Here is a 20,172-nt window from a genome sequence, read left to right on the forward strand (position 1 = left end):
GGATCTCAGTGACTTTCTATTACATTCTTATTTCCCCAAATAATGGGTTCTTGTTTAGGCCCCCTACACTGGTTCCCAGAACATTAGGAAGGCAGAGCCTCTAACAATCAACATTCTGGGATTGTGATAAGGACAACTGGCCTGTCTATTACAACCTCAAGAAGAATGGGTGTGAGTGGGAGAATCAGTTAAAATGTGAATGCATAATGGTTCCCCTCCCACCCCTCAACTTTCTCAAAAGCCAAATTTACTTCATGAGATTAAATTTCACTCAATGGACGGTGGGATGATGGAGAGTTTGCGTTGAGATGATTTTTTAAAAGGAAGTTTGATTGTCATAGTAACGCTCTGAAAAGATTTTGATGCAACTTTGGAATTACTTCACACCCAATTACATAGAACATCTACTTGGAATGAGAGATAAGTGCTTCTGTGACTGCAAACATAGATAGAAAATCCATTAACCTTTTTAGCCATTTATTAAAGCAGAGGAAAATTATTTTTAAAATGCAATTTCTGACTTCAAGAAGAAGTACCGAAAAAAATATTTTCTTGGTGTAGTTTGGAGTTTCCTAATAAAGGGCAAATGCCACAGAATATCTTCACTATGGATTCCTTGGGAATCAGAGAAATTTAGGGCCAGTAACACACTGAGTGGTCATTGAGTCCACTCCCTGACCAGGAAGGGCCAGAGTTAGGCAGGTAGAACCCTATTACTTTAAAAACTAAAACCTCCCTTTGTCGTTATCCTCATATTTAAAAATCTTACTGCAATACAGTTTCTTGTGGCTTACTTACAGCTGGGCAGCTTAGTCTGTTTGTCTCATTCTAGCTTCAGGAATGATCATCACCAAAAACACGTATTGAGCATTTTTTCCGATGACTTTTGCTAGTCAAAGGGAAAAAAGCTAAAAGGTGAAATTACTGCCATTGAACTGCCATTACTTGAACTGCCATTACTTGAACTACCTTCATCCACTGGATCAAAACCATTTTCATAACTGGGTATTGTTAAGCTCTTCAGAACATAGGCTTTTGGACCATTAGAAGGGCTTTCACATCGTCTAGTCCAGTTCTGTAACTGTACACACTGGAGCAAATGACACCTGAAGAGGTTCTATACATATGTATTATCTTACTCATTCAATACGTTTGTTTAGTCTGTTCCTGTGGGACAACTTGACATTATCCATTTCCTGAAGTGCTGCAACAAGAAATACCGTACACACCATCACTTATGTTCTTACCAAAAATTTTACCCTGAATCCAATTTCAGACAAATTCAGAATGTAGGACATTCAACAGGGCAACTATCTTGGGCTCTTCAAAAAGGTAAATGACTAGAAAAACAAAACAAAAAAGAAGTGAGGAATTGTTCTCTCTTTGATTAAAAGAGAAGAAAGAGCATGAACCTTGGTGGGATCCTGTAATTCAAGACACAAAAGCTGTAAAATACATTTTGAGGACAACTGGAGAAGTATGGAAGGTATTTTAGACAATATTATTAACTGAGTGATGATTTTCTTATGCATGATGATGGTTTTGTGGTAATGGAGGAGAATGTCCTTATTGTTAGGAGATGTATTCTGAAGTATGTAGGAATGACCTATGATGCTTTCAAATGGTTCAGCAAAAGAGGTATGCATGTGTGTAGAAAGAGAGAAAGATGAGAGAGAGTACAACTGTAAAATATTAACAATTAGCGAATCTAGGTGACAGTGCTCATTCTACTATTCATTCAACTTTCTGTATATCTCAAAATTTAAACATGAATAAAACATTTTAGTAAAACAGACACCCTAGCACGTAAGTTTCACGAAGCAAGAGATGTTTGTTTCTCCCACTGATGTAGACCAAGTGCTGAGAGCAGTCCCCAGCACATAGTAGGCACTCAGTAAAAACGTGTTTAAACGGAAAGCAAAAAAGGAGGTGGCCCCAGCATGGGGTCAGAGGGAGGGAAGGGACAGAAGCCAAGAAGTGGGCAAGTCTGCTGGCACACCACCCTGACATCAGTGTTTTTCAGAGGCTTCCCTAGAGCCACAGGAATGCTACAGAATAAGGCTCCTGTGGACAGTGCCCTCTCAGCTGCACCTGCTTTTGGTGCAGGCAGCTGGGCAGAAGATTAGGTAGAGAAGACTCACCCAGCCAGAATGTCTTACCCATGTCCCCACCCACCACGATCGATCTGGAAATGGCATGGAGATGTTTCTGATGAGAGTATAAAAATGTAGGCATCCGTCAGCTCGCACTGGTTCAGCCATCCTATGTATACAAGGGAAAGCTTGAATATATGTGAAACCTCAGGGATTATGAGATCCATTAGAACCCACTTAATATTATGATGCAAATGGTGAGATTGAAGGTCTTACAATTAGGCAAGAGCTGACTGCTTTCTTCATTTGATTTTCTTTAATGGCACCAAAATAATATACTGTTTTTGAAAAGACGAGTTTTCTAAGATTCTACTAGTTGATGATTTATTATCTCATTTCCAAATTCCAGGGTTAAGGAAACATGTATATTAAGAAATGGCTAAAATATGAATGAAGCACAAATGCTCTGGGAGGCTGATGGAGGAGGAGGAGGGTACCAGGGTGGGTGTGCGAGGTCATGGTCCAGCTGAAGGCCAATGAACCGAAGGTTTCTTTATTTTCTCCTCTTTTTCTTTTTATCTTTCTTTTCTCACTTTCTTTCAATGTCTCTTTTCTTCTTTCCTCCCTCTTTGCTTCCTCTCACCCTTCTTTCTTCTCTTCCTTCCTTCCCTCCTACCTTCCTCCCTTCCATCCCCCGATTTTAAAAACCACAGTGATTGAAACTAAAGAGCTGGCCTACGCACCTCAGGGCTGAGGACTTGTTAGCTCTCCTTGCCTCCTGGCAACCATGCCCCTTCTAATAGTGACTGGTTGAGAAAGAGGCTCAGAGTCTTTTAGCTAGAATAATCCCCTCAGGCATGTCATCTCTTTCCAGTGCAGACCTGCAAGGGAGGTGATCTTATTCCCACTGAGAAGGAGCCTGGCAGTGCTTCTAAACTGAATTCTCATAAGAAAGGGAAGAGCCTGTTTGCAAAAACATACTCTTTTGCTGCCAACACAAGCAGATCTTTTAGGGAGGAGGGGAACTGTAACCCCTCCAAGATCTTTGCTCTCCTTCAGAGCCAAGGCTCTCAGGTTTCACAAAGGAATTTATAGAGCAGACTGACGCCTCTGGGGTTGGAATCAGCTCAGGACTAAGTGGAGAATGAGGAGAGGGACAGGCACCCTTCTCTGCTCTGTGCAGGCTGGGGATTGTTTACCAGGGGATGAAAAGGTCCTCTCCCTGAAAAGGAATGTTTGGCAAGGAAATGACTTCTGGAGGCACAACTGAATGGCTCCCCAGGGAATCAGTTTGGGTTAGTTACAGATCAGACCCACCACCCTGGACAAATCTCACTGGGCAGGGGCGGCGGGGCTGTGATTACAAGAGCTTGGGGATGTTTAAAGCAACTCCTGCCTTCAAAAGACAGCTGTCCTCTTTTCCAGATAAGTTCTGTATGGTAAAAGAAGGAAAAGGAAAAAAAATAGAGGTTAGAAATCATATTGAAAAATTAAAGGAATGTTTGATTTGTCCATAAGAATTTCCTGACTGTGCCACTTTGCTCAGCGCTTGTCCTAGGTCCTTCCAATATCACATTTAGTGGGTAGTGAGAAGGCGTGGAGTAAGTGACTCTGGTTGCTGACATTCACACTTGGATGAAGTGGAGAAAGATGATGTCCTTCCTTATTTGGTGGCTCTGGAAGCCACATTCCCTCCTCATCCGCCTTCCCAAAAGAACCTTGTGGCTGCCCAGCGGAAGCCAGTGCTTTCAGCAGCCCCCACCCTTGGCATTTCCTTATCTAGGAGTCTTCACTGTGGAATTCCAAGGCCCACCCCAATGCTCCGGATGTGTTTCAATCCATGGCCTGCCACTTTGTTACTCTTGTGATGACAAGCAGATAACATAGCTCACATGCCTTCTTTTCCTGCATACCAACCAGACCCCAGTTCTGAAAAGGAAACAAACCACAAACCAAGAGAGATGTGTTATTTTTATGCAGACATTGTTAAGACACTGCAATAAGCCTAGAATTGTGGAGAGTGCTTTCCCATGTTGCTCCAGTTAATCCCCTCAGTCACTCTGGCATTTATACAAATGAGGAAACCAGTGAGTGTGGAGGTTAAATAGTCAAGGTCTCATAGCAAGTGTGTGTGTGTGCATGTATGTGTGTGTATCTTGGGGGGTGAGGGTTGCCAATTCAAAGTCCAGAATGACTCCAAGTCCACAGCACCTTTGTTGCAGTTAAATGCCTTTACAACTAAGCGTGACCCCTTTGGCAATCACTACTAAGAGGCTTTACCAACTTCTGACACTGTTAACTTCAAGACAAATATGCTTTTTTCAAGACATGGCATCAAAAACTGTATTTCTGTTATTCCTCATCACCATGGTTACAACCACAACTCATCTGTAATTTTCAAAGACCCTGCATCAGAGAAACAACAAAAATGTGGAGAAAATATTTGCTGAACATGTCAGTAAATAAATAAGTATAAAATATGAAAGTGGCCAGAATATACCCAAATCAATAAATATGAATGAGTTAAATGCCTCTTTTGAAAGACAGATAATGGCCGGGTGCGGCGGCTCACGCCTGTAATGCCAGCACTTTGGGAGGCTGAGGCAGGTGAATCACAAGATCAAGAGATCGAGACCATCCTGGCTAACACGGTGAAACCCCAACTCTACTAAAAATACAAAAAAATAGCCGGGCGTGGTGGCAGGTGCCTGTAGCCCCAGCTACTCGAGAGGCTGAGGCAGAAGAATGGCGTGAATCCGGGAGGTGGAGCTTGCAGTGAGTCGAGATCGCACCACTGCATTCCCTCCTGGGCAACAGTGCGAGACTCCATCTTTAAAAAGAAAGAAAAAGAGAAAGAGAGAAAGAAAGAAAGAGACAGATATTCTTAAAATCCAACAATTCCGCTTCTGGGTGTATACCCAAAAGAATTGAAAGCAGAGTCTTGAACAGATATTTGCACACCCATATTCATAGCACCATTATTCACAATAGCCAAAGTATGGAAGAAACCCAAGTGTTCATTGACAGATGAATGAACAAGCAAAATGTGGTATTTACACACAATAGAATATTATTCAGCCTTAAAAAGGAAGGAAATGCTGACATATGCTACTACATGGATGAACCTTGAGGGCATTATGCTAAGTGAAATAAACCAAAAAGACAAATACTGTATGATTCCACTTACATGAGGTACTTAGAGCATTCGAAATCATAGAGACAGAAAGTAGAGTGATGATTGCCAGGAGCCGGAGGGAGGGGGAAATAGAAAGTTATAAGAGTTTAGAATTTCAGTTTTACAAAGTGAAAAGAGTTATGGACATGGATAATGGTGGTGGATGCACACTATGAATGCATTTAATACAATTGAAATATACTCTTAAAATGGTTAAGATAGTAAATTTTTTGGGGGGAGGAACTGGAACCCTAAAAATGAAAGAAAAATGAATTTTCTTAGAAAGATACTCTTATATGATGTAAAACAATACAAACAATAAAAGTCTATGCCATTTATAAGAGATATACCAGGATGACACTGGACGGTTGAAAATAAAGGGATAGACAAAGGGACACCATGTAAATGCTACCAAAATATGCAGAAGGGACAGTATCAGTGCCAGACAAAATCAAATTCAAAGCAAAAAGCACTAAATGGGACAAAGAAGACTGAAAGACATAATCCAACAAGAAGTTATACTAATAATTAATTTTTGTGCAATAAACAACATAGCATCGAAATATATAAACACCAAGTCTGTGTACTTAGGCATCCTAAGAATGGGTAAATATAGTAAAAAGTACTGTTTTGGCCTGATAGGAACTTGCTGTCTCTTCCAGTGGATAATTTGTCTGTAGTGTATTTAAAGCAGGGAGCTTAAGCTCAGACTTCCAGATTGGAAAGTTTCTAAGTATTTCAGGGAGAGGTTATTTATGCTGTATGAGTATTTTACGTCAGGGAAGCATTATAACAAATAGACCATAAAAATCATACCACATCCAAAGGAAAAACAAAAAGCCACAGAAGGTTCTTGGAGTGTCTCTTCAGGAAATCCTCCACACTCAAGGCTCTTGCCAGTTAGGGTAACGTGTCCATAAATTTCCTCTAACAAACCCATTCCAGCATCAGAAAATGACAAATCAATCAAATTTTGGGGGATTGATAGCTAAACTCTTCCAGGACTGTGGGCATAAATCCAGGAAAGGAATTTATGCCAAAAATTGAACCCTTTCCTGACAGAAATGGAAACGCAGACAGAAATAAAACCAGTTACTTCATTTCAACTCATATCTACCACGTTTTAGGCAAGACAGTGAGGATACAGCTTACAGCTTCTCACAGGTAAGATAAAATTTCTAGCAAAAGTAAGGTGCTGGCCAGGCACAGTGGCTTACACCTGTAGTCTTGGAGCTTTGGGTAGTTGAGCTGGAGGATCCTTTGAGGCCAGAAGTTCAAGACCAACTTGGGCAACATGGTGAAACCTCATCTCTACAAAAAGTAAGATAAAATAAAATATTAGCTGAGTATGGTGGTGCATGCCTGTAGTCCCTGCTACTCGAGATGCTGAGGTGGGAGGGGGATCACTCAAGCCCAGGAGTTCATGGTGACAATGAGCTAGGATTGAGGTACTGCACTCCAGCCTGGGTGACAGAGTGGGACTGTTTCAAAAGCAAACAAAAGTAAAGTACTAAAACACTCTAAAGCGCTCAGTTGTTAAACAAATCTCATCTCCAGTAGGGATTGAGTTACTGAAGCAAAGGGGCCAGGGAAGCCAATGACAGGGAAGGAATGGACCGGGAACCTGGGTTTTGAAATATCTTTCTCATAATTTGAGTTATATTAAAGAAAAACCTAAAACTACTAAGTGCTAATCTAGCATTTTTTAATTCTGAAAAGTCTAAATTAGACATAAGCAATTGGTTAGAAGTGCTGGATAATAATTTTCCAAGCAAAGAGGGCTTTTTTCTTCCTGATCCTTTGTCAGATATACTGAGGCATGATCCCTGTTCTTGAAAGGCAGTTGTTGCAGCTGAGCTCACTAGTACCTTATGTTCTACATCCTAAGCAAATGCATACCTCTGAACTCTGAGGGAATGCGGAGTGGAGACCCTACTAGGTCGCTGGCCAGCCAGTTTTTTGGTGTGTGAATGGGTTGAATAAACATGCATGTACACATATATATTTATGTATATCTAAATGGGTAGATAGAAAATAGATAGATAAATGACAGATAGATAATAGACAGATAAATCATAGATAGATAATAGATGATAGATAGATGATAGATAGATAGATAGATAGATAGATAGATAGATAGATAGATAGATAGTGATATGGTTTAGCTGCATCCCCATTCAAATCTCGACTTGAATTGTATCTCCCAGAATTCCCACATGTTGTAGGAGGGACCCAGAGGGAGGTAGTTGAATAATGAGGGCCGGTCTTTCCCATGCTATTCTCATGATAGTGAATAAGTCTCACAAAATCTGATGGGTTTATCAGGGGTTTCCACTTTCTCTTCTTCCTCATTCTCTCTTGCTGCTGCCATATAAGAAGTGCCTTTCACCCTCCACCATGATTATGAGACCTCTCCAGCCATGTGGAACTGTAAGTCCAATTAAACCTCTTTTTCCTCCCAGTCTCAGGTATATTTTTATCAGTAGCATGAAAACGGACTAATACAGACAGATGCACAGAGAAATAGACAGACAGATGGATGATAGATGATTGCTAGCTAGCTAGCTAGATGATAGATAGATAGATAGATAGATAGATAGATAGATAGATAGAAGATAGATGGATAGATAGAAGATAGATGGATGGATAGATAGATAGATAGATAGATAGATAGATAGATAGATAGACAGACAGATATTACTTTCACTTCTTTCTATCTCTCCCTCTTTATTCCTGGTATTCTCTCTTCACTTCCTCCTCTCTCTGGTCTGTCTAGCTGTCTGCCTGTGTTTCATTTCCTTTGTGTCTGCCTGTAGGTAGGTCTTGTCTCTCTCTGAGCATCTCTCCATGGGACTCGGTGTATTTCTCCCCAACTGTCTCTGGCTGTCTGCCCTTCTTTCTTTCTCTCTCCATCTCCCTGCCTTCTTTTTGCCTTTCTTCTACTCTGGTGATGGTTGCTGCCCTTGCTGCTGTGATGCATTTTCTATTGATGGAGTGAGCATTAAGGAGGCCCAAATATGGTCATGGGTTTCAGGCGGAGTTGAGGTCACGGCAGCCAGGCAATGCTCGCCCCCAGCATGGTCCTTGGGAAACTCAGAGCTGTCACAAACACTGGCCCACCTTATATCCAGACACTTAAGGTCAGGAAGAGACAGAGTGATTCAGCCAGAGTCCCGTTCATAAAAGGCAGCAAAGGCTCTCTCCTGTCAGCTGCCACTTGTTACAATACAGTCAATTTTCCATTCCACAGCAATTTACATTCATGTCTGTTATAATCACTTTGCTGTGCACTTACTGGAAGGGAAACCATTTTCCTTAGTATCATTCAGATAATTAGAGCAAGTCCTCTGGATGAGGAAAGCTCAGGTACAACAATGAAACTATTGAAATGTCTTTAAAAAACCTCTCCTTTTAAAAGAATGTTCAAAGAAATTGCCACATCAAAGTTCTGAATGTCAAGAATTCCTATAATTTCCTTCTGTGGCTAATGACAGGAACTTTCTAGAATACTACAATTTCTTAGAGTACAGGATAAAGGATAATTTTGTTTGCCTGAGATTTAACTCACCTGAGAAGTATTTTTCCAGGGTTATGATTGAGCAAAAGACTGGTCGAGAAGCTTTCAACCAACCTATGGGGAAATAACTTTTTTATTAAAGCACTTTCATTAATTAAGCGTTCCTCCATGGACTTTTAGGGAATTCATTCTTTACTGAATTCTTCTAGAACTGCAGAAAATCTTCAGAATGGGCTGCAACAACTTTGGTCACAGAAGACAGCTGCAGCTGCACAGCAGAGAGACGGGCTAGAGAGCAGAATGGCAAGGGTTCAGCTCAATTTTTCCATGTTTCCTTTTTGCATGCTTTATTTTGCAGGGGAGTCTAAGCCAGAAAAGTAGAGATGCCTTTCCCTTAAATTCATGGTTCATGAAATTATTAGAAAAGGTCTAACAATCTTGTGGAAAGGTTATGTAGGGTGCAAAACTTTCCACCCAGGACAAATTCTAAACACTGTAATGGAACTTTTCCTTCAATCCAATCTATTTGTTATCATTTGTTGAGCAGTTACAATACATGGCAAGCCCTGGGATAAAGGTTCAATGTGCTCATTTAAATCTCCCAGTAACTCTTTAATGCAAATCTATTATTTTCCCCCATATTACAGATGAAGAAACTGAGCCTGATGTGTTAAAAAGGTTTGTTGAAAATCACACAGCTAGGAAGAAAGAGATCTTGGATTCAAACCCAAGTCGGCTGGCCTTATAGGCTGTGTTTTCAAGTACCTGCCTCATGGCCAGGCTCGCTACTCTGACTCCAACTAGAGAGAGCAAATGAACTCTGAAAACTGGCAGAAAATCAGCAACAAATGTCTTAGATGGGTAGCCTGCTTACTCTCCCCTGGGTCTGTACAGTAAGTCTATGTAGTAAATCCTGCACAGAATGTTACAGAGACCATAGAGTAGCAGGAACTATTTAGATTGGTCCAGCCCTATACCATTTGCAAAGCTTGACATCTGTGATCTCAGATGATCTTTTCTAAAACTCTGTGACTTAGAGGTTATTGTTTCCATTTTAGCAGAAAAAGAGACTAACACCCGAGTTGGTTAAGTGACTTGGTCAAGGTCTCATAACTAGTAACTGACAGAGCCAAGACTTGGGCCTAAGAAGGGTTTGACTCCTTACTCAATGCCCTTTGAGCTCCTGCTCCTGGGCCAACTCTGGTCAATTGATCATGACTGGCCTGTGGTGTTATTTGGGAGAAAATAGTCCCAGGATGTATTAAGACTCAGCAAGAAAAGGTGTCACAGGCCGGGCATGGTGGCTCACACCTATAATCCCAGCACTTTGGGAGTCTGAGGCTGGAGGATTGGCTGAGCTCAGGAGTTCATGACTAGCCTATGCAACGTGGTGAGACTGTATCTCTACAAAATTTTAAAATTAGGCAGGCATGGTGGCACACACCTGTAGTCCCAGCTACTCAGGAGACTGAGGTGGGAGGATCACTTGAGCCCAGGAAATGGAGGCTGCAGTGAGCTGTGAAAGCACTGCTGCACTCCAGGCTGGGCACCAGAACAAGACTCTGTTTCCGAAAGAGAATATAAAAAAAGAAAAGGAAAGAAAAAGAAAAAGTGTCACTGTTGATTAAGCATGTCTGCACCGACACCAGCGTGAGGAGCGATGGCATCCTTGCCACAATGACATCATCTCTAATATATTTAGTGCAGCCCCTTAATTCTATAGAAAAGGAAATGGAGGCGTAACTCAGGAATTCTGAGACTTCTGCAGGTTCTCTCAGCAAGTTGATGACAGTCAGGACAAAACAGCATTTTGAGAAGTTGTGCAGATCTCTTTTCATAGTACTTTAAACCTGGGACTTAGGCTTTTCCATGCTCATGTTTGCTTGTCTCTAAGTCCAAGGGTCCCTTATGAGTCGGGGACAGAAGGTGTTAAGCAAACGTAACAGAGGACAGAGAAAGCTGGGATTGGTGCAAGACATGGCTTCCACTTAAGACTGCTCAGCCTTCCCCTGACACCTGCCCTTCTCTCTCCTTCCCTCACTCTCACCATCGCCAACACTGACCTCTCCCACCCCTGCCCTGAGCTAATCCTCCTGCCATTGAGAAGGAGTTTTATCCTACCCCATCTCTCCCACAAGGCTGTAAGCCATCCAAGGTCAGCTGATGACACTGTCTTGTTCATTCGTATAGAAGCCTGGCATCTTACTCCACATAGGCTTGGCACACATGTGTATGGAACTCAATTGATTCTGCCCAAACTGGAATTGGAGTAAACTGAATTGAACTAAATGTACCTGCACCAAAGTAGGTAATAAAATAGGCCTACTGACTAATTTATTACAAAGCGAAAAGCGGAAATAAAATAGGAAGGAACTGGAATTCGTGAGAGGGAAAATAGCACCTTTCTATCTCATATTCCCAACATCCTCCCCAAAATCACCAGCACAATAATAGCAAATATTATCAGCTAATTTATACCTATAACAAGACATTGAGTGGCACTTGTCTTCTTGTCCTAGTTTTGGTATCTGGGGCCTATAGCTAAAAAGCAAAGAGAACATCCACACACGGTAAGATTTGGGGCCAAAAATTGTACCACAAGGAAGAGATGGTACAAAAATCGTACCACAAGGAAGAGATGGTACAAAGGTAACCACCCCTTTCATCCTCCGTTCTCAGTCTATATCAATGACTATCAAACCCATTGGACTGCAGATCTTCATTTAGTGACAAATATCATGCAATGCCAATTTGCAAATTAAAATGGATAGACAATAAAACTTTCTATTAAAAATTATATAGGTATATAATTTTCTCCCAAAGCCAATATAATCCCTAACTTTTTAGAAATAATATAAATAAAGGAGAGGTAAGTTATTAAAATAATATGTGTTTCCTGGGGCACCACAACTCTAGGAGACATAACAAAGTAGTCAGTGGTTTGGGCCTGTTTGTAATGAGTAAGTTTGCATTGAAAAGAAAATAGGCCAATATAAAGTTGAATATCATCAACACTTTGTCTTTATACATATTGAAACAAGGGGTAAATAAGTAAATTTGTTTTTATACATAGACTTTTTGCCAACTGAACAGATAAAATGCAGACTGATATTTTGGCAACTAAACAGCACAACTGGCTTTGCCATCAGTGATGTGATTGTTCGAATGCTGAACAGTCTTTGGCAAGTTTCCAAAAGGAACAAGTACTGTATAATCTTCCCTTGATTTACATGTTAGGTATGTTTCTGGAAAATCCAATGTATATCAAAGCTATACAAAAATACCCTGTGTTTTTTGCATAAAATAGAATTGAGTTCTAGGCCTATGTCATTATAAAATGTCTGGGAGGACACCAGAAAGATGTGTAGATGTGAGATGGTTCTTCTCCATGTGGAATTGTCTTGTGCATTGCAGGATGTCTGGAATCCCTGGCCCATTAAGTATCAGAAGATCCCCCAATCGCCGTGACAACCAATAACAGCTCCACATATTTCCAAAATGTCCCTAGGAGATTGTGTGACCCTCGCTAAGGACCACTGCTCACTATAAAAAGACAGGGAGAAGAAGGGGAGTCTAAGAGATGGTCATCCTTCCCGTGGTTGGATATCCACAGCAGACTTGCTCTTCTGCATCAGCGTCAGAGACTTGGAGAGATGTGGAGGTGGGGAGAGGTGGTGCAGCAGCTGCATACCTACCACTGGGCGTGACAATGAGCATGTGTTTCCCACGGGACCACTGGACACAGGGCATCACAAGGAGCTGGCTTGAGCCATCTTGCTATTATCCCACCCAGGAGGGTTGTCTCTTGGTGAAGATGCACTACAACAAGAGGATGTTGCACACAGGGCCCCTGTGGAGCAGAGGTGGGCGGGGAGCAGGGGAGCAAATGAGGTGGGGCTGGAGTTGGATCTTCTGGTCAGGGAATTAGGCAGCAAGGGAGGGGAAGGGGCCTTTAAGGGTCTCCAAAGAACTGCTGCATGAACTCCGTCACACTGGGGACATGGACGTTGGCTAGAGTGTGCTGGCTCCTCAGCAGCCATTAAAAACAAGTTGATTCTTTCTCCCTCCCTCTTCCCTACCCTGACCCAGTGAAGGAGTGGGAGCCCTGAGGAATGGAGAGGCTTTGAAAACATAGGAGATTGAAGTTTTGTACCAGACCTTTCTCTCTCTCTCTCCTTTTTTTTTTTTTTGAAACAGGGTCTCACTCTGTCACCCAGGAAGTGCAGTGGCACAATCACAGCTCACTATAGCCACAACCTCCCAGGCTCAAGCAATCCTTCCACCTTAACCTCCTGAGTAGCTGGGACTACATGAGATCCACGTGCCACCATGCCTGGCTAATTTTGTTTTGTTTTTTTTGGTAGAGACAAGATCTTCCTATATTGCCCAGGCTGATCTCAAACTCCTGGGCTCAAGTAATCCTCCTACCTCAGCCTCCCAAAGTGCTGGGATTATAAAAGCATGAGCCACTTTGCCCAGCCCAGACTACATTTTAACTGTTGAAAATGAAGCAAACGTTATGAAAGACTTTGTTAATTATACCTAAGATGTTGTTAAAGCATAAAGAATGATTTGATGGAGTATAACTGGGACTTGGGAGCAGCTAGTGAAAGAAATTGAAATGTTTCATGTCTTTCCCCCAACAAGTTGAGATTCCTCCATAACCCAGTTACATACTTGACTTTGTCCCACAATGGATTTAAAACAGCTAATAAGAAGCCATTTAACAAAACAGAGAATGAAAACTAGACCCAGAGGAAATATAAACTGCATAGAATAACAACCAAGCAAAAGGAAACGTTAGGTCAAAAATCCACAGGACTTTCAGTCCTGCTATGCCATTATGGTTAGGCCACCAATTTTGGCTCCCTCGAAGCCAAAACAGAAAGGAGAACACGATCCTTTGGCTGGTAAAAGGGATACAATATGTTAACAACTTCCAGAATAAAAATGGTCTGGGATGTACACAAAGTGGTCAAAGAATGAACACCAATGACTACCACTGTCCAATGCTCTTCCCCTGATTGCTTTAATGATTTAGGTAGGCCTTCCAGTTAATCACATGCTTTAGATTAATAATATGTGCTGAGTATAGTGCTAGTATCTCTGTTGTCACTCCTATTTTATAGATGAGGACCCTGAGGCTCACAGAGATAAATAACTAGACAATATTGTCCCAGCTAACAAGTGGAAGAACCAGAATTCGAAGTCAGGTCTGCTAGTTTCTACATCAAGCTCTTCATTAAACCCAGCTCTATAATGTTATGAGAAGTGAGAAAATACTGACAGTGCCGGCTTAGCTGGAGCCCTTGAGGATTGCAGCACTCTGGTAAACTGAGGAGTGAACCCACTTGTGCCATCTCACAGTTTGGAAAAGGCAACACTATGATGACAGTGGGTAACACTGGCCTGGCACATAAACACAAAATGTTTGAGAACCCCACCTGGTGAGGGGCATTCTTCATCATAGCTGCTTTTTCATGCCGTGAAATGAGAGTCCACACACCTCTCATCATATCCATGGCAGAAATTTGAAGATTGTATTTTGTTTGTTTGTTTTATCAAAGAAAGCACAAGATTGCTTTTATTTTTAAAAATTTTTTTAAGGATACTCATCATTGAGCTTTTACAGTGAAGTTTTGGTTTCACAACTTAATGCAAGATCTGATTTACCTGATTCTGTGGCCCAATCGGCTTTAAGTTCTGAGATGCTTTTATTCAGTATTAGGGAGGCTGCAGAAGTGTAGTAGGAAGCAGACTGAGTTTGGAATCTGAAGACCTGGGTGCAAGCTTTGTCACTTAAATTGATTATGTTGAGTGACCTTGATCTTCAATTTTCTCATCTACAAAATTGAGACAACAAATCCCAGTATCAGAACAAAGATGAAAATAGATATGTTAAAAAATCTTTAGGCCGGCTGCAGTGGTTCATGCCTGTAATCCCAGCACTCTGGGAGGCCGAGGCGGGCAGATCACGAGGTCAGGAGTTCAAGATCAGCCTGGCCAACATGGTGAAATCCCATCTCTACTAAAATACAAAAAATTAGCTGTGCACGGTGGTGTGTGCCTGTAGTCCCAGCTACTCGGGAGGCTGAGGCAGGAGAGTCACTTGAGCCCGGGAGGCAGAGATTGCAGTGAGCCGAGATCATGCCACTGTACTCCAGCCTGGCAACAGAGCAAGATTTTGCCTCAAAAAAAAAAAAAAAAACAAAAAAACAAAAAAAAGAAAAAACTTTATGAACCCTAAATTGAAATTAAAATATATAGTATTACTTTTCTGAATTGAATTAAAAAGGCAAGAAGCTGGTTGAAAGAGCATTAGGTTAAGGTTAACAAGATCACAGTATTTACCTAGCCTGGGTCACAGTAAATCACCTACCACTCTGTCTAACTTCCTGGCTTTAGATAAATCACAATTTTTTTTTTAAATTAAGATGGAGTCTTGCCCTGTCACCAGGCTGGAGTGCAGTGATGCGATCTCAGCTCACTGCAACATCCACTTCCTGGGTTCAAGCAATTCTCCTGCTTCAGCCTCCTGAGTAGCTGGGACTACAGGCATGCGCCACCTTGCCCAGCTAATTTTTGCATTTTTAGTAGAGACGGGGTTTCACCGTGTTGGCCATGATGGTCTCGATTTCTTGACCTTGTGATCTGCCTGCCTTGGCCTCCCAAAGTGCTGGGACTACAGGTGTGAGCCACCGCGACTGGCCGTAAATCTTTTAAACACCGTTTTTTTTTTCAGCTATTAAATAAAGTTAGATTGGTGTTACCGAAAGCCTCCTCTTCCCCCCACCCCCTTTTTTTTTAATTCAACTTTTATTTTAAATTCCAGGTTACATGTGCAGGATAAATCGGTTTGTTACATAGCTAAATGTGTGCCTTGGTGGTTTGCTGCACTGATCACCCCATCACTTAGACATTAAGCCCAACATCCATTAGCTATTCTTCCTGATGCTCTCTCTCCCACCACCTCTGACAGGCCCCAGTGTGTGGTGTTCCCCTCCTTGTGTGCATGTGTTCTCATCGTTCAGCTCCCACTTATAAGTGAGAACATGTGGTGTTTGGTTTTCTTTTCCTGTGTTAGTTTGCTGAGAATAATGGCCTCCAGCTTTATCCATGTCCGTGCAAAGGACATGATCTCATTCCTTTTTATGGCTGCTTAGTATTCCATGATTTATGAGTACCACATTTTCTTTATCCAGTCTATTATTGATGGGCATTTGGGCTGATTCTGTGTCTTTGCTCTTATGAATAGTACTGCAATGAACATATGTGTGCATGTATCTTTATAATAGAATGGTTTATATTCCTTTGAGTATATACCCAGTAATGGGATGGCTGAGTCAAATGGTATTTCTGCTTATAGATCTTTAAGGAATCGCCACACTGTCTTCCACAATGGTTGAACTAATTTACATTCCCACCAAACAGTGTAAAAGCGTTCCTTTTCCTCTGCAGCCTCATCAGCATCTGTTGTTTCTTGACCTTTTAATAATAGCCATTCTGATTGGCATGAGATGGTATCTCATTGTGGTTTTGATTTGCATTTCTCTAATGATCAGTGATGTTGAGCTTTCTTTCCTATTTTTTGGCTGCATGCATGTCTTCTTTTGATATGTGTCTGTTCATGTCCTTTGCCCACTTTTTAATGGAGTTTTTTCTGGTAAATTTGCTTAAGCTCTTTGTAGACTCTGGATATTAGACTTTTGTTAGATGGATAGATTACAAAATTTTTCTTCCATTCTGTATGTTGTCTGTTCACTCTGATGATACTTTATTTTGCTGTGCAGAAGTTCTTTAGTTTAATTAGATCCCATTTGTCAATTTTTGCTTGCGTTGCAATTGCTTCTGACATTTTCATCATGAAATCTTTGCCCATGCCTATGTCCTGAATGGTATTGCCTAGATTTTCTTCTAGGGTTTTTACAGTTTTGGATATTACATTTAAGTTCAACAGCCCCTTTTTAATCCCTAAACATTTTGGTCTTTGACTGTCAGCTTCCACTTATGTTTTCATGTTTGTGTAAGAATGTCAATTAAAATCAAGAATATTATGGTCTGAATTTCTATTTTGGAAAAGTATGAAATGTGAAGATTCTTAATATTTGTAACTAACACGTGTAAAATCTCTCAAATTGACTTTTGGAATAGTTTTATGTGTTAACAGATTTGAATAGTGGCATCTGGGCGATAAACTTCAAATTGTCAATGTGGTAAAACCTTTAGTTGATTTCCAGTTAGAGTTTCAGCTCTTGAAAAATTGCGTTTTTGCTTATGTTTACAATATAATTTTCTAAGGTCACCGTAACAAAGTACCACAAACAGGGTATTTACACAATAGAAATTTGTTTTCTTACAGCCGGGAGGCTAGAAGTCTAAGATCAAGACATTAGCAGGATTGGTTCTTTTTGAGGGCAGTAAGGAAGAATCGTTCTATGCCTTTCTCCTAGTTCCTGGTAGTTTCCTAGCTGTTATGGATCTCTACAAAATTCATTTTTTGAAGTTCTAACCCTCAGAACCTCAGAAGAAGACTTCATTTGGAAAGAAGATCTTTACAGAATTAATCAAGTTAAAATGAGGTCATTACGGTGAACTCTAATCCAGTATGAATTGTGTCCTTATAAGAAAAATAAATCTGGATACAGACTCATACAGAGGAATGATGATGTAAAGACACAAGAAGAAAACAAGCCATCCACAAAACAAATAGAGAGACCTGAAACAGATCTTTCTCCTACAGCCCTCAGAAGGAACAAGCCCCACTGACACCTTGATCTCAGACATCTAGCTTCCAGAGCTGTGAGAAAGTAAATTTCTGTTATTTAAGTACCCAGGCTGTGGCATAGTCAGCCCTCCATATCTGGGGGCTTAACCAACCACAGATCAAAAATATTCAGACAAAAAGTGATGGTTGTGTCTGTACTGAACATGTATAGACTTTTTTTGGTCATTATTCCCTAAACGATATAGTGTAACTACTATTTACATGGCATTTACATTGTACTAGGTATGATAAATAATCTAGAGATGATTTAAAGTATACAGGAGGATATATGTAAATTATATGCAAACACTGAACCATTTCTATAACAGACTTGTGCATCCACGAATTTTGGTATCTGAGGAAGGTCCTAGAACAAATCCCCTCAGAATACCGAGGGACAGCTATACTTTGTTACAGCAGTCCTAGCAAACTAAGAATCTGGCAATCTTTGGCATTCCTCGGCTTGCAGATGCATCACCCCGAACTCTACCTTTGGGGTCACATGGTGTTCTCCCTGTGTGCATGTCTGTTTCCAAATTTCCCCTTTGGATAAGGACACTAGTCATATTGGATTAGGGCCCACCACAGTCTAGTGTGACTTCTTCTTAACTAATCACATCTGTCACAACTCTGTTTTCAAAAACAGAGGTACTGAAGCTGAGGACTTCAAAAATGAGGGGGAGATGCCATTAAACCCATGAAAATTACTCACTGTGGTAAACTGAAAAACTCAGCCACAGTATTTCACAGCTCATCTCATCATGAGGTAGAGTCAGTTCCCTCATCCCTTGAGTCTGGGCAGGACTAGTGACTTACTCTGACTGAAATGGAGCAGTGGGGATACTGAGTGAGGTCTGGAGCCAGCCTCAGAAGTCTTGCAGACTCTCCCTTCCACCTCTTGGAATGCTGCCCTGAAAGTGCCATGAACAAGGCCAATTCAGACTTCTGGAGGATGAAAGGCCTTGTGGAGGAGAACCAGGGTGCCCCAGCCAGCTGCAACTGCCATGCCTGCGAGCGAGACTACCGTGGACCTTCTAAACTAGCGGCCAGATTTGGCCCACTGCCTAATTTTGTATGGCCTGCAAAAATAAGAAAGTTTTTTATAATTTTAATGGTTAGAAAAATTAAAAGAAGAAGAATGTTTGTGATATGTGAAAATCACATAAAATTCAAATTTTAGAGTCCACAAATAAAGCTTTATGGGAACACAATCACACTCTATTGTTTACATATTGCCTGTGGTTGCTTTTGTGCTGTAACGGCAGATTGAATATTTGTGACAGAGACCAAATGGCCATCAAAACATAAAATATGTATTATCTAGCCCTTTACACAAGAAGTTTTTCTACCCCTATCCTAAGCACAACCAGTTCTCTGCTGATTACAACTGCATGAGTGAGGTCCAAGGGCAACAAGCAGAGGAACTTTCCAGCCACTCCACAGATCACAAGAAGAGTAAGTCCTTATTTTACATGACCAAGTTTAAGGATGGTGTGTTATGCAGCAATAGATAACCACTTTTAGGTAATAGTTACCTGATTTCTAGTCATGTGAATTTTTTTTTTCAGACAGGATTTTTCTTTGTTGCCCAGGCTGGAGAGAAGTGGCACAATCTCAGCTTGCTGCAGCCTCCGCATCCTGGGCTCAAGTGATCCTCCCACCTCAGCCTCCTGAGTAGCTGGGACTACAGGTGCACCCCACCTTGCTTGGCTAATTTTTAAATTTCTTGTAGAGACAAGGTCTCATTATATTACCCAGACTGGTCTCAAACTCCTGGGCTCAAGTGATCCTCTCACCTTGGCCTCCCAAAGTGCTGGGATTGCAGAGGTGGGCCACTGCACCCAGCCTAAAAAGTAATTTTTAATATGCAGACAAAACAAAACATGTCTGTTTTCGGGAAAGAAAAAAAAATTAAGACATTGAGAATTTAAGAGTCAAACTTCTCAAACCTTTTTTCATATCCATAGCATTTTTTTCAGGTATTTCTTTTTGACTAACACTTTAAAGAGAAAATGACTAGTAGAACTAAAGCTCTCCACTAAATTTTGTTAAATGCCCTCAGTTTATATTGGATTTTATACTAAATTCTGATTTTCAGAATTTCATGCTATTTGACTAGTAGCTTAAGATTTTGACCAGGTCTACTGAAAAGAGCTTTCAAAAGCTCACTCTTTCCTTTGCCTACTGGTAAAAGAAGTGAGCTGCTCTGAAATGAGCCTGGGAAGAAATAGATTGTCAGTTTGTTTTCTGAGTATGTCTATGGTTAACTGACTTCCTGTGCAGGAGACACAGCCATAGTCTAACCACAGAGACATGCAGTTTCCAGCTCTAACAATGAGAGCTAGGACCCATGAGGTCTGGGAAAACCTGGGCCTGAATGTTCCCACTTCATTTGGAGCTCCTGCCTCAACAACAGCAGCCAAGTTCCCAGGGGGTGCCAGGGAAATGACTGAATGAAGAGTTAAAAGACCCAAGTCTCATCTCCTGCCACCTTAGGTATCTTCTCTACAAGTGAGGAGTATAGTAATACCTAACATGTCCTTCATTCAGATGTTGAATGTTAACAATGTGTCCAGTATTGTTCTAGGGACAGAACAGTAAGCAAAACTAAGCCTTTTCTCTT

The 20,172-nt window shown here is 41.1% G+C and overlaps 1 long non-coding RNA gene across 1 annotated transcript in view, besides 2 other annotated features; it reads left to right on the forward strand.

Annotated features, from left to right (window-relative positions):
• Positions 2,901-3,554: an enhancer, noted in NCBI's record as "VISTA enhancer hs495". NCBI's record gives its function as "enhancer in: hindbrain (rhombencephalon)[5/5] | midbrain (mesencephalon)[5/5] | nose[5/5]" and the evidence as "EXISTENCE:transgenic organism evidence [ECO:0001131][PMID:17130149]".
• XLOC_008559 (uncharacterized LOC105378427) overlaps positions 19,937-20,172 on the forward strand; it is a 44,833-nt gene continuing 44,597 nt past the window's right edge. Inside the window, exon 1 of the long non-coding RNA NR_131214.1 lies at positions 19,937-20,045. This is a non-coding gene — a long non-coding RNA (uncharacterized LOC105378427). The remainder of the gene's footprint in view (positions 20,046-20,172) is intronic.
• Positions 20,028-20,087: an enhancer, noted in NCBI's record as "active region_3758". NCBI's record gives its function as "activates an Ori minimal core promoter by ATAC-STARR-seq in GM12878 lymphoblastoid cells {active_cell/tissue: GM12878}" and the evidence as "EXISTENCE:reporter gene assay evidence [ECO:0000049][PMID:35858748]".

The sequence above is a fragment of the Homo sapiens genome, chromosome 10 (assembly GCF_000001405.40).
Source record: "Homo sapiens chromosome 10, GRCh38.p14 Primary Assembly".
Lineage (NCBI taxonomy): Eukaryota > Metazoa > Chordata > Mammalia > Primates > Hominidae > Homo > Homo sapiens.